Source organism: Homo sapiens, chromosome 17 (assembly GCF_000001405.40).
Source record: "Homo sapiens chromosome 17, GRCh38.p14 Primary Assembly".
Lineage (NCBI taxonomy): Eukaryota > Metazoa > Chordata > Mammalia > Primates > Hominidae > Homo > Homo sapiens.
In genome coordinates this window covers 19,815,582-19,828,080 of record NC_000017.11, presented here as the reverse complement: position 1 = coordinate 19,828,080, position 12,499 = coordinate 19,815,582, and the positions used below count along the sequence as shown (strand labels likewise).

Here is a 12,499-nt window from a genome sequence, read left to right as displayed (position 1 = left end):
TTTTGATGGGAAATTGGCTGATATTCTTATTAAGGATCCCTGTATATTACAAGTTGCTTCTCTCTTGCTTCCAAGATTCTCTCTGTCTTTTGAAAGTTTGATTCTGTAACTCTGTGTGGGTCTCATCAGTTTATCTTAAAGTTTTTGGAAGTTGCTTTTTTTTTTTTTTTGAGACAGAGTTTCGCCCTTGGTGCCTAGGCTGGAGCGCAATGGCAGGTTCTCGGCTCACCGCAACCTCCACCTTCCGGGTTCAAGCGATTCCCCTGCCTCAGCCTCCTGAGTAGCTGGGATTACAGGCATGTGCCACCATGCCTGTTAATTTTGTATTTTTAGTAGAGACGGGGTTTCTCCATGTTGGTCAGGCTGGTCTCAAACTCCTGACCTCAGGTGATCTACCTACCTCTGCCTCCCAAAGTGCTGGGATTATAGGCGTGAGCCACCACGCCCGGTCCAACCTAATTCTTATCTTAGGTAAAAACAGCTACTTGAAAATGTCAGACCAGAGAAATCATTAAGACATGTTTAATGAAAATACTTAGCAAATTAACCCTGATCTTGTAGTTTTTAGGGAAAAAAGTGTTTGACTTTTCCTGTAGTAATAGTTGTAATACTAACAGAGATTTGTGGAAATATACTCCAGGATTTTGGTTTGCTAATGTATAGTATAATAGGGAAACCCACATTGGTATTTAAATAAGTTGGACTAGAATTTGAATTCTAGTCCCTCACCTTACTAACTCTTTGACATTGGACAAGAAACATGGCCTTTGTGTGCTTTTAATTTTATTACCCATCATAGGAGGACATACTTCCTCAGATAAGGTTTGTGAAGCACCCAGTTCATTGTCTTAGTGAATGTTGAATACTCAGTAGAGGATAGCTGTAATTGTTTCCATGTCGGGGAAAAGATGAAATGGTCTGAATACCTATTTTCTTAATGTTTTGTAAAGTTGGACTAAAATTAAGTTCATGTAGTTGGAAATATTTATACCTATTAGGGAGAAGTTAAGCTGAGAGTTGCTCTGAACCATGAGAATTATGGTCAATAGTGAAACAACTATTATGGAGAATGGTTTTAAAATTATTGAATGTATTGTTTTTGTAGTTTCTTTTTTTTTTTTTTTGAGACGGAGTCTCGCTCTGTCACCCAGGCTGGAGTGCAGTGGCGCGATCTCGGCTCACTGCAAGCTCCGCCTCCCGGGTTCACGCCATTCTCCTGCCTCAGCCTCCCGAGTAGCTGGGACTACAGGCGCCGGCCGCCATGCCCAGCTAATTTTTTGTATCTTTAGTAGAGACAGGGTTTCACCGTGTTAGCCAGGATGGTCTCAATCTCCTGACCTTAGGTGATCTGCCTGCCTCGGCCTCCCAAAGTGCTGGGCTTACGGGCGTGAGCCACCACACCCGGCCAGTTTTTTCTCTTTTTAATGTGAAACCAGCATCAGGAATACTTGTAGGGGCGAAGGATAGTTTGTTGTATAAATCAGCTGTATCAATTTCCTCTTAGGACAATTAACAGCTGTAGTTCACATGGGTGCTTAACAAGGGCCTGGTGATCACAGTTCTCCTGTGGGGCTGTCCACTGGAGGGTGGCATACGTTAGAGAACATGTCTGTGTAAGTAGCATCAGAGTATGTTGTGCTGGTGATAGATGTTTTGAGAATTCGTAATTATTTAAAATTTGTTATTGATTCATTATTTTATATGATTATAAAAATAATTATTTTATAGAGGATTTATAAAAAATACGCTTTTACATTTAAAGGAAATGGAGCCTATATAAAGAAGTTAAATTCTGATCTCAAAGACATTATATTGAATACGTTGAGAAAAAATAACCTGGTTGATAGTTTAGTCAATGTCTCTTTAAAGGTTGCATTCTCATTTCTTGTTACAGAAGCATTTTTTAGCCATCCTTTTCTTGAGCAAGGTCCAGTAAAAAAATGTGAGTATCCATTTTTTGTATTTTCACTTAAAGAATGAATGCAAGCTTTAGGAAAAATTAATGATTTTTACTACAAAATTCATCTTTTATTGTGACTCCTAAAATTTCATTGAATTTATTTATTTATTTATTTATTTTTTTTTTTTTTTTTTGAGATGGAGTTTCGCTCTTGTTGCCCAGGCTGGAGTGCAGTGGCGTGATCTCGGCTCACAGCAACCTCCACCTCCCGGGTTCAAGCCATTCTCCTGCCTCAGCCTCTGGAGTAGCTGGGATTACAGGCATGCGCCACCATGCCCGGCTAATTTTGTATTTTTAGTAGAGATGGGGTTTCTCCATGTTGGTCAGGCTGGTCTCGAACTCCGGACCTCAGGTGATCCACCCGCCTCAGCCCCACAAAGTGCTGGAATTACAGGTGTGAGCCACCACACCCAGCTACTTTTTTTTTTAAACGGAGTCTTGCTCTGTCACTCAGGCTGGAGTGCAGTGGTACAACCTCTGCTTCCTGGTTTCAAGTGATTCTCCTGCCTCAGCCTCTGGAGTAGCTGGGATTACAGGCGGGCACTACCACACCTGGCTAATTTTTGTATTTTTAGTAGAGACGAGGTTTCACCATGTTGGTCAGGCTGGTCTCAAACTCCTGACCTCAAGTGATCCTCCTGCCTCAGCCTCCCAAAGTGTTGGGATTATAGGAGTGAGCCTCTGCTCCCAGCCTGATTTTCTTAGATACCTACGGTTGTGTTTATTTAATAACTGTTCTATTTTTCCTTCTGAAACGAAGTTGAAATAGTTTTAGTAATTGCTGCATTTTTAGTTTCATCAGCAGATGTGGTAATAAATAGGTAAATGCAGATTTTGGGGGAACACAAAGGTGTAGTAGTTTTGGCAAGTGTTTCTGTTATACAGGTCATGTGACTGCACTACAAAATGATGTAGTTCATTTGTGTTTCTTCCCCTAGCTTGCCCAGTTCCAGTGCCCATGTATTCTGGTTCTGTCTCTGGAAGCTCCTGTGGCAGCTCTCCATCTTGTCGTTTTGCTTCTCCACCAGTAAGTTACAGTTTATTAAAAATAATTTCAGAGTTAGTGCTATTACATCTTTTCTCAAATGGAGCATGCACATACACTGTGGATATTCTTTTTATGTGTAATGTTTACTAATGTAGCTGAGATTTGGGGGAAAGAACATGATAGTTGGGTCAAATGGACCTGCATTCGGGCCTCTGTCCATATGTTACTGTGTAAGCTCCAGAAAGAAATGTCACCTCTCTGGGCCATTTTCCTCTGAACAGTGAGTATAGCACTATCACCTTCTTATACCCTATGGTGTTTTGGTGATGATACTTGCAAACAGAGTACCCATTACAGGTGGATAGGCAATAAATATTTATTTGATCTGAATGCCGTAGACATGAGCTTGGATTTTTTTTGTATGTGGAATTTCTACTGAGGGAGGAGTCACCTCTGAGCCAGATTTCACTGACTTAGATTCTCTTAATCATGATTTCTGGCGCTTTAAGGTGGCTTCTACTCAAACCTCTTCCTTTCCCTGAAGCTCCCAAGGCATTTTCTTCATGGCTGTGTTCCCTCCCATCTCAGTACTTCTTCCTAATCCTGAGGCCTTCTGGTCACTCTAGTCACTTCTTCCTACTCCACTCTTCTCTTAGGCTTTTTTTTTTTTTTTTTTTTTTTTTTTTGAGATGGAGTTTCGCTCTGTCGCCCAGGCTGGAGTTTAGTGGCTCCATCTTGGCTCACTGCAACCTCCGCCTCCTGGGTTTAAGCGATTCTCCCAGCCTCAGCCTCCCAAGTAGCTGGGACTGTAGGCGCACACCACCACACCCAGCTAATTTTTTGTATCTTTTGTAGAGACGGGGTTTCACTATGTTGGCCAGGCTGGTCTGAAACTCCTGAACTCAAGTGATCTGCCCGCCTTGGCCTCCCAAAGTGTGAGCCACGGCACCCTGCCCCAGACATCAATTTCTTGAATGCCGCTGGCAGAAAGATAGGGGAGCCATAAAAGTGAGACAACTCAGAGGTTTAAGTGGATGGGGCTTGCAGCCTCCATGTACCTTACCTGTCATATAGGACACCTTTTTTTTGTATGTCAAGTAAGTGTAATTTACCTACCTCGTAGGGTTCTTCAGGGATAAGTGAGTGTAAGCACTTATTGCATGCAGGGTCTGACACATAGTATATAACGCAAGGGGTGGCAACTGTTAGGTAAAGCAGATGCAGATGTAGCCTGTTGCAAACAGACAAGTCTCAAAACTGGCAGCAAACCTTTCTTACACAGCCCCGCAAATTCATACCAAATAGATAAAGCAGATTATGTTAATAAGACTTATGTTATGTTCTGGTGAACTAAAAAAATTAAGAGCCAGACACGCTGGCACCAATCCTAGCCCTGCTGCTTGCCCACTCAGTGACTTTGGGCCGGTCAGTTAGAGAGGTGGGCCATGGTGTCCTCATCTGGACCATAGGCTTGTTTAACCTTTGCTTGCAGGGTCCTGGTAGTAAGATGTGGGAAGTGCCTAGCCATGGCAAAGTCTCAATAAATTGTGGCTATTATTATGAACCATATATTTGACACAATGTAATATGAAAAGCAAAGCTTGTGCTAGAGGAAAGAACAACAGGGAAGAATCTAATTTTGGGAGAGCAAACATAAAGGAGCCTGTGGGGTGATAGTGTGACTGAGGGATGAGAGAGGCCAGTAGGGAGGACGTTGAACTGGAAATTTTCTTTGACTGGAGAGAGCATTTTGGGGTTTTTGTTGGTTGAAAGAGGAGGACAAAATAGGAGCCAGGCTAGGGCTGCCAAGGAGTAGCTGAATGTAGAACTAACTGGAGGAGTGAAGAGAGGCAGGAGAAAGAGAAAGTCTTTTTTAGATGTTAAAAACTCTGGTGGACAAACCTATTTTTTCTGAGGCAGGAATATTGTTTGATTCCAGGAGTTCAAGACCAGCGTGGGCAACATATCAAGACCACCCATCTCTACTAAAAAAAAAAAAAAAAAAATAGCCAGGCGTGCCTGGGCATGACTGTAGACTCAGCTGTAAGGGAGGCTGAAATGGGAGGATTGCTTGATCCCAGGAGTTCAAGGCCAGACTGGGCAACATAGTAAGAACCTGCCTCTATTAAAAAAAAAAAAAAAAATCCGGCTGGGTGTGGTGACTCACGCCTGTAATCCTAGCACTTTGGGAGGCTGAGGTGGCCAGATCATGAGACCGGGATATCAAGACCGTCCTGGCTAACACGGTGAAACCCCATCTCTACTGAAAATACAAAAAATTAGCTGGGCATGGTGGCACGCGCCTGTAGTCCCACCTACTCGAGAGGCTGAGGCAGGAGAATCGCTTGAACCCGGGAGGCGGAGGTTGCAGTGAGCTAAGATCGCTCAACTGCACTCCAGCCTGAGCGACAGAGCGAGACTCCATCTCAATAAAAAAAAACAAACCAAACAAAAAACAGTAAACGGGCCGGGTGTGGTGGTTCATGCCTATAATCCCAGCACTTTGGAAGTCTGAGGCGGGTGGACCACTTGAGGTCAGGAGTTTGAGACCAGCCTGGCCAACATGCCAAAACCCTGTCTTGGTGTTTTTTCAAATAACAAAAATTGGCTGGGCGTGGCGGCGTGCACCTGTAATCCCAGATACTCAGGAGGCTGAGGCAGTAGAATCACTTGAACCCAGGAGGCAGAGGCTGCAGTGAGCCAAGATCATGCCACTGCACTCCAGCGTAGGTAACAGAGCGAGACTCTATCTCAAAAAAAAAAATAAAATAAAAAATAAAATAAGTCACTGGCATAAACATATCCTTTTTATGTCTTATTCATTAGAGTTCTTTAAAAAGTAAGGTTGGGCCAGGCTCAGTGGCTCACGCCTGTAATCCAGCACCTTGGGAGACCAAGGTGGGTGGATCGCTTGAGATTAGGAGTTTGAGACCTGCCTGGCCAACATGGTGAAAACCTGTCTCTACTAAAAATACAAAAATTAGCCAGGTGTGGTGGCGTGCGCCTGTAATCCCAGCTACTTGGGAGGCTGAGGTGGGAGAATCACTTGAACCCAGCAGGTGGAGATTGCAGTGAGCTGAGATTGTGCCACTGCAGAGCAAGACTTTGTGACTTTCTCTCAAAGAAAAAAAAAAAAAAGATAAGGTCAGCTGGGTGTGCTTGCTCACGCCTGTAATCCCAGCACTTTGGAAGGCCAAGGTGGGAGGATTGCTTGAGCCCAGGAGTTTGAGACCAACTTGGGCAACATGGTGAAATCCCGTCTCTACAAAAAAATTAAAAATTAGCTGGGTGCTTGAGCCCCTGACTTCGAGGTTACAGTGAGCTATGATTGCTCCACTGCACTTCAGCCTGGATACAGAGAGACCCTGTCTCAAAAACCAACCAACCAATAAACATCATTTTAGGAAGCCTTTAAAAAAAATGGAAATAAAGTGGAAAGCAGGGGAAAAAAGGAAAGTACGAACATTTGTATATAGTTTCCAGTTAGTGGGATTAGAAAATGGTATGGTTTGATAGACCTTACATTTAACATCATCTGCCAAAAATAAGATGATTTCATACATGCTTCCCCTTCTTTCTAGGACTGGTGTAGACTCATACAGAGGCTTGAGATACACAGGCATGTGATATAACGTTGTCGTTTTTACATTCTCATGTAAATATCTAGCTGCTATTTTATTCCAGAAAAATTCTAGGCCCCCCCCAAAACAAAAAATTACAAACAATAAAAAAACTCCAAATCACTCTTTTAATTATGATACTGACTAGAGATTAAATGCTATTTAGATGGTAAATCTTGAATATTTATTTATTTAGTGATTTTTTTGAGACAGAGTCTCACTCTGTCACCCAGGCTGGAGTGCAGTGGCGCGATCTCGGCTCACTGCAACCTCTGCCTCCCGCGTTCAAGTGATTCTCCTGCCTCAGCCTCCCGAGTAGCTGGGATTACAGGCATGTGCCACCACTTCTGGGTAATTTTTGTATTTTTAGTAGAGATGGGGTTTCGCCATGTTGGCCAGGCTGGTCTCGAACTCCTGATCTCAGGTTATCCACCTGCCTTAGCCTCCCAAAGTGCTAGGATTATAGGTGTGAGCCTCCTCGCCTGGCCTATTTATTCGTTTTATAACATTTATCGAATACCTACTTTGTGTGATGTTCTGGTTTATACTAATGAATGAGATGACCAGGTCCCTGACATTAAGGAGGTTTTAATTTAATTGTATGGAGAAGAGGTAGGTAACTCAGTCATTGCCAGAAGCATATGTATATGTATCTTCATTGCCTATGGGAGTGTGATTGGGGAACATCAAAATTAGATTAAGGATTTAGGAAGGCTGCTAAAAAGAGGGGATTGTTTGAGCTGAGTTTTGAAGAAAGATTGCAAGAATTAGTGAAAGAATGATATTGTAAGCAGAAGAATTTCCGTACATGAAGTCATAGAAGCGTGAGCCACTGAAGGAACTCTAGCTCTCCATGGCCATTTACATTTAAATTTGTTAAAATTAAGTGAATTTTAAAATTCATTTTCTTATTCACACCAGCCACATTTCAAGTGCTTAGTAGCCTTAGCTAGCTGGTAGCTCCCATAGTGGATAGCTCAAATATAGGCCTTTTCCATCATTGCAGAAAGAACAAGGCTGCACTCAGTAGTTCAGTTTGGTGGATGCAGAGAGCATTGGTGATGGGTGAAGGGAAAAGAAAGCTAGAGAGGTAGACAGAGGCCTGACAGTATTTGGAGGTCAAGCAAAGGAATTTCAGCTGCATTCTTAAAAGTTGTAGTGAGCTAGGCCGGACACGGTGGCTCACGCCTGTAATCCCAGCACTTTGGGAGGCCTAGGCGGGTGGATCACAAGGTCAAGAGACTGAGACCATCCTGGCCAACATGGTGAAACCCTATTTCTACTAAAAATACAAAAATTAGCTGGGCGTGGTGGGGCGCGCCTGTAGTTCCAGCTACTCGGGAGGCTGCAGCAGGAGAATCGCTTGAACCCGGGAGGCGGAGGTTGCAGTGAGCCGAGATCACGCCACTGCACTCCAGCCTGGTGATAGAGCGAGACTCCATCTCAAAAAAAAAAAAAATAAATAAAGTTGCAGTGAGCCATTGGAATGATTTTAGAGTGAGTGATATGATCCACTGTGTTTTTTAGCTAGATTCTCCCAAAAGCAGGGTGGAGGACTAGGTTGGAGTGAGAGAGGAAATACAGAGGTCTCCACTAGAGGAGAGAGGACACCTTGAGACCCTTGCACCTTTTATTTTATCATCATTGTTGTTGTCGTCATTACTGTTTTGAGAACGAAGCCTGAACTAAGGCGGCAGTAAGGAAGGAGAAGAGCCAGGTAAGAGAAAGGCAAAGAGCGCACAGATCTTGAAGATTGCTTGAACTTGGAACCTGAGGAAGAGTGAGACCTTGCTGGTGACAATGGCCGGCTGGCAAGGTCACTCTGAGGGAACTTGGGGAGCAGTGCTTTGGAATATAAAGGTGATGAGTTAACGTACAGGCATGAATGTGTTGTATAGGCAAGTGAACAAAGGGATCTAGAGCTCATCAGAGAGAATTTTGGCTGAAGATCAAAAAGTAGGAACCATCATTCTGTGAGTGGTAGTTAAAGGTAGGAGGGACAGTGAGCATGGTCACTCGGGTAAGTACAACAAGTGAAGCGTGAAGAGCCCAGGGTGGCTCATGGGGAACTCTCTACTCTTCTCCTTCTCCTCCTTTTTGAGGGGCAAATGAGAAGTATGTACTCACAAAAGAGACTCAGAAGGAGTCCCCAAGAAGTAGGAAAAACAAGAGATTGCAGGGTCACTGAATGAAGGGGCAGAGTGTTGAGAAGAATGGTCCACAGTACAGATGGAGCAAAAAGTTCAAGTACCTTAAGGAGTACGGGAAATACTTGCTGGACTTGACAATAGAAATTATTGATAATCTTAGTAAAGGCATTTTTATTCAAGGGTTGAAGACAGAGTGGGTTATGTTGAATTAAGGGATATATAGGATGTGACACATTTGAGTCAGTGAAGATGATAATTTCAAGATATGTTGTTTATAGGCTCATGCCTGTAATCCCAGCACTTTGGGAGGCTGAGGCGGGTGGATCATGAGGTCAGGAGTTCAAGGCCAGCCTGGCCAAGATGGTGAAACCCCGTCTCTACTAAAACTACAAAAATTAGCCAGGCATGGTGGCAGATGCCTGCAATCCCAGCTACTCGAGAGGCTGAGGCAGGAGAATCGCTTGAACCTGGGTGGCAGAGGTTGCAGTGAGCCAAGATCATGCCACTGTACTCCAGCCTGGGTGACACAGTGAGACTCCATCTCAAAAAAAAAAAAAAAAAAAAAGAAAAAAGAAAAGAAATGAAGAAGAGATGATAATTTGAGAGGGTTTTAGGGATTTGAGATGTGAGAAAGTTAAACATGGTTATCTACAGAGGGAAAAAATGCCATAACAAAAGGAGAGGATGAAAATGTCAGGAGCCGAGGGGAGTTGTTCTAGGCCACTGGGGACATAGAGGAGCATGGAATGCAGAGCACAGGTGGAGAGAGGAGCGCCCATGGAAGAGAAGCATCTCTTCCACTGTTACGAGAAAGAATGACCAGGGTGATTGTAGATGCAGGTAATTTTGTAAATAGCAGGAGAAGAAACTGGGAAAGTTCCTGCCTAAACCACTGGAAAGATATTGTGGAGTTAGAATCACATCTCAGCTTGACTACTTTTTAATTGTGTGATCTAGGGCAAATTACCTGTCTGAACTTTATTTATATGTGAATGGGCTAAAGTTAGATAACATGGAAAGCTCTTTTTTTTTTTTTTTTTGAGACGGAGTCTCACTCTGTCGCCCAGGCTGGAGTGCAGTGGCGCAGTCTTGGCTCACTGCAAGCTCCGCCTACCGGGTTTACACCATTCTCCTGCCTCAACCCCCCGAGTAGCTGGGACTACAGGCGCCCGCCGTCATGCCCGGCTAATTTTTTGTATTTTTTAGTAGAGACGGGGTTTCACCATGTTAGCCAGGATGGTCTCGATCTCCTGACCTCGTGATCTGCCCGCCTCGGCCTCCCAAAGTGCTGGAATTACAGGCCCAAAGTGCTGGAATTACAGGTGTGAGCCGTGATTCACACCCTGCCGGAAAGCTCTTTTAACAGTGCCTAGCGCATGGTTGAGGCTCAGTAGTGCTAGTTCTTCCATCTTCCCTTCCCTTCATTACCTTGAGATACAAAGTCTCTTCAAAAAGTGATAAGGAGAGATTGTGTCAAGTGCATGTCACACACATGAAAATAAGTGGTATCAGTGACCGATACCATGGCACAGTGACATTCAAAGGAGCAGCAGCAGTGAACCAGGTATTTAAGGCTTGGGTTTAAAGAGCATAATATAGTATTTTTCCGTTCCTTAAATAAAGGCAAAGATGAAACAGGTTAATAGGGGCTTGACACAATAAGCTATGAAGTTCATTGTTGTAGAAAACCATTGTATAATCAAGATATTCAATGAGTTGTCAACTAGGGTCCTTGCACTAGATAAACGACAAAAGATACGTAGCTAGTTAGCTCTTAAGTATTTGTTTAAATATATTTACATGCTTTTCTTCCCTTCCTATCCTATCTCCTACTAACAAATCAACTACTACCCCTGATAAAACAAAAACAAGAGGAACACAAGGATACCTGTAAGGTTTTCCAAATCTATAAATACATTTCTGGTCTTAAGTGCAGGCACCCTTCCTGATTTGTCTATTTTTTTACATAATGTGGTCTCTTGGTTTCCTGCTTATAATTTTTCTTCATTATATATTTAAAACGTGTGTGTGTAAGATGTCGTTAATTTAAAGTCTCTGGACATTTTGTGTTTAGTCATTAAGTGGAAAGTTATTAAGTATCTGCTTTGTTAGGCCATGAGCTAGAACCGGGGGATGTTGTGATGATAAAAATTTACTTTCTCAAAAACTTCAGGAGAGGGAGGCAAGTACATGCGGATAAGTGGTACGATATATTTTTAAGTATCATTTTTGGAAAACATTTCAGAAGTCTTTATGCAAACACTTTTAAAAGAAAGGTTTTCTAAAGGAAAGCTTTTCCAAAGAGATTTTTTTGAAACCTTAGATGGAATTGGACTTCATGCCCACTTTTGTGGGGGAAAAAAAAAAATTCCTTAGTCTAGTCACTATTCTGACTTGCATTTGATTATTAGACCAGTTTTAATTTTATGTTGTTAATTTTAGTCCCTTCCAGATATGCAGCATATTCAGGAAGAAAACTTATCTTCCCCACCATTGGGTCCTCCCAACTATCTACAAGTTTCCAAAGATTCTGCCAGTACTAGTAGCAAGAACTCTTCTTGTGACACGGATGACTTTGTTTTGGTGCCACACAACATCTCGTCAGACCACTCATGTGAGAATCTTTTCTACTTGTACACATTGTATTTCTTAATCTACTAAACTAGCATCTTTTTTTTAACCCATATATTACACTTTCTTGTGTAGGGCACCTTTTCAAATGAGCATTTTATTTAGTTGTTTGAATTCTCAGAATTATATTCCTACCTTTTTAAAATTTGCTCAATCATCTTCTATTAAACAATAATTTTGGATTCTGAAGGTACATGAAAACTTTATAGGAAATGATCTCAAATTCTGTTTGTATCCAAACAGAAAGAAATAGAGAAACCAGCAGAATGAGTGAAACTAAGGAAAGAAAGGAACAACTCATTTGGGGAAAAAACCTGAGTCAAAAGAGTGTTATAAACAATCTGAACGTCCTTCAGAAAATACTTATGTAAGTTAAGGAATGAACTTCATAAATATATGGGAAGAATTTTCATAAAGGAACTAGAAGCCAAGTGACTAAATAGAGCCAGTGTACTTTGGAATAGTGAAGGGTACCAGAAAACCTACAAAAAAGAGATATTAGGTAAAACTATTAAAAAGAAGGAGCCATGGTTTGATCATGAAGGAATAGTATCAGAAAAGCTAGAGATTTGATTACTTTAATAATTGAATAATATCAAGTGCTGATTATGTGCAGCAGTTTGTATCAGGTCTTTTTAGTTGTTCGTCTAGTGCTTATTTAGTAGATGCTCATTCTAGGCACTGTGCTAGTTGTGAAGACCATAATCCCTAAACTGAATGTAATTAAGTATTAGCTGGGTGTGGAAGGGAAAACATGGACCACAGCAGCAGTGCCATGGCAGTTTATAACCAGCATTATGAGAACTGAGAGTTACCTTTAAAAGTAATCTAGTACAGTGGTTTTCTTTTTTTTCTTTTTTCTTTTTTTTAAATTTTGTTATTATTTTAGGTTTTAGGGTACATGTGCACAACGTGCAGGTTTGTTACAAATGTATACATGTGCCATGTTGGTGTGCTGCACCCATTAACTAGTCAAGTGGTTTTATTTATTTACCAAAAGTAATTAAAACTTTTAAAATCATGAAACATTTTAAACAAAATAGTAGAGCAGATACTCAAGGTACCCACTAGGCTGTGTTACTTTTATATAGGTCAATATTTTGCCATATTTGTCTTAGATGTGTTTTTAAAATATATATAATGCCATAAG

At 41.9% G+C, this 12,499-nt stretch overlaps 1 protein-coding gene across 5 annotated transcripts in view; it reads left to right on the top strand.

Annotated features, from left to right (window-relative positions):
- ULK2 (unc-51 like autophagy activating kinase 2) overlaps positions 1–12,499 on the top strand; it is a 97,107-nt gene that overhangs the window by 39,856 nt on the left and 44,752 nt on the right. For all 5 annotated transcript variants that reach the window (XM_047437147.1, NM_001142610.2, NM_014683.4 and 2 more), the window contains exons 11-13: positions 1,895–1,942; positions 2,899–2,987; positions 11,161–11,332. In XM_047437147.1, the coding sequence (XP_047293103.1) occupies positions 1,895–1,942; positions 2,899–2,987; positions 11,161–11,332 (309 nt within the window). The remainder of the gene's footprint in view (positions 1–1,894; positions 1,943–2,898; positions 2,988–11,160; positions 11,333–12,499) is intronic.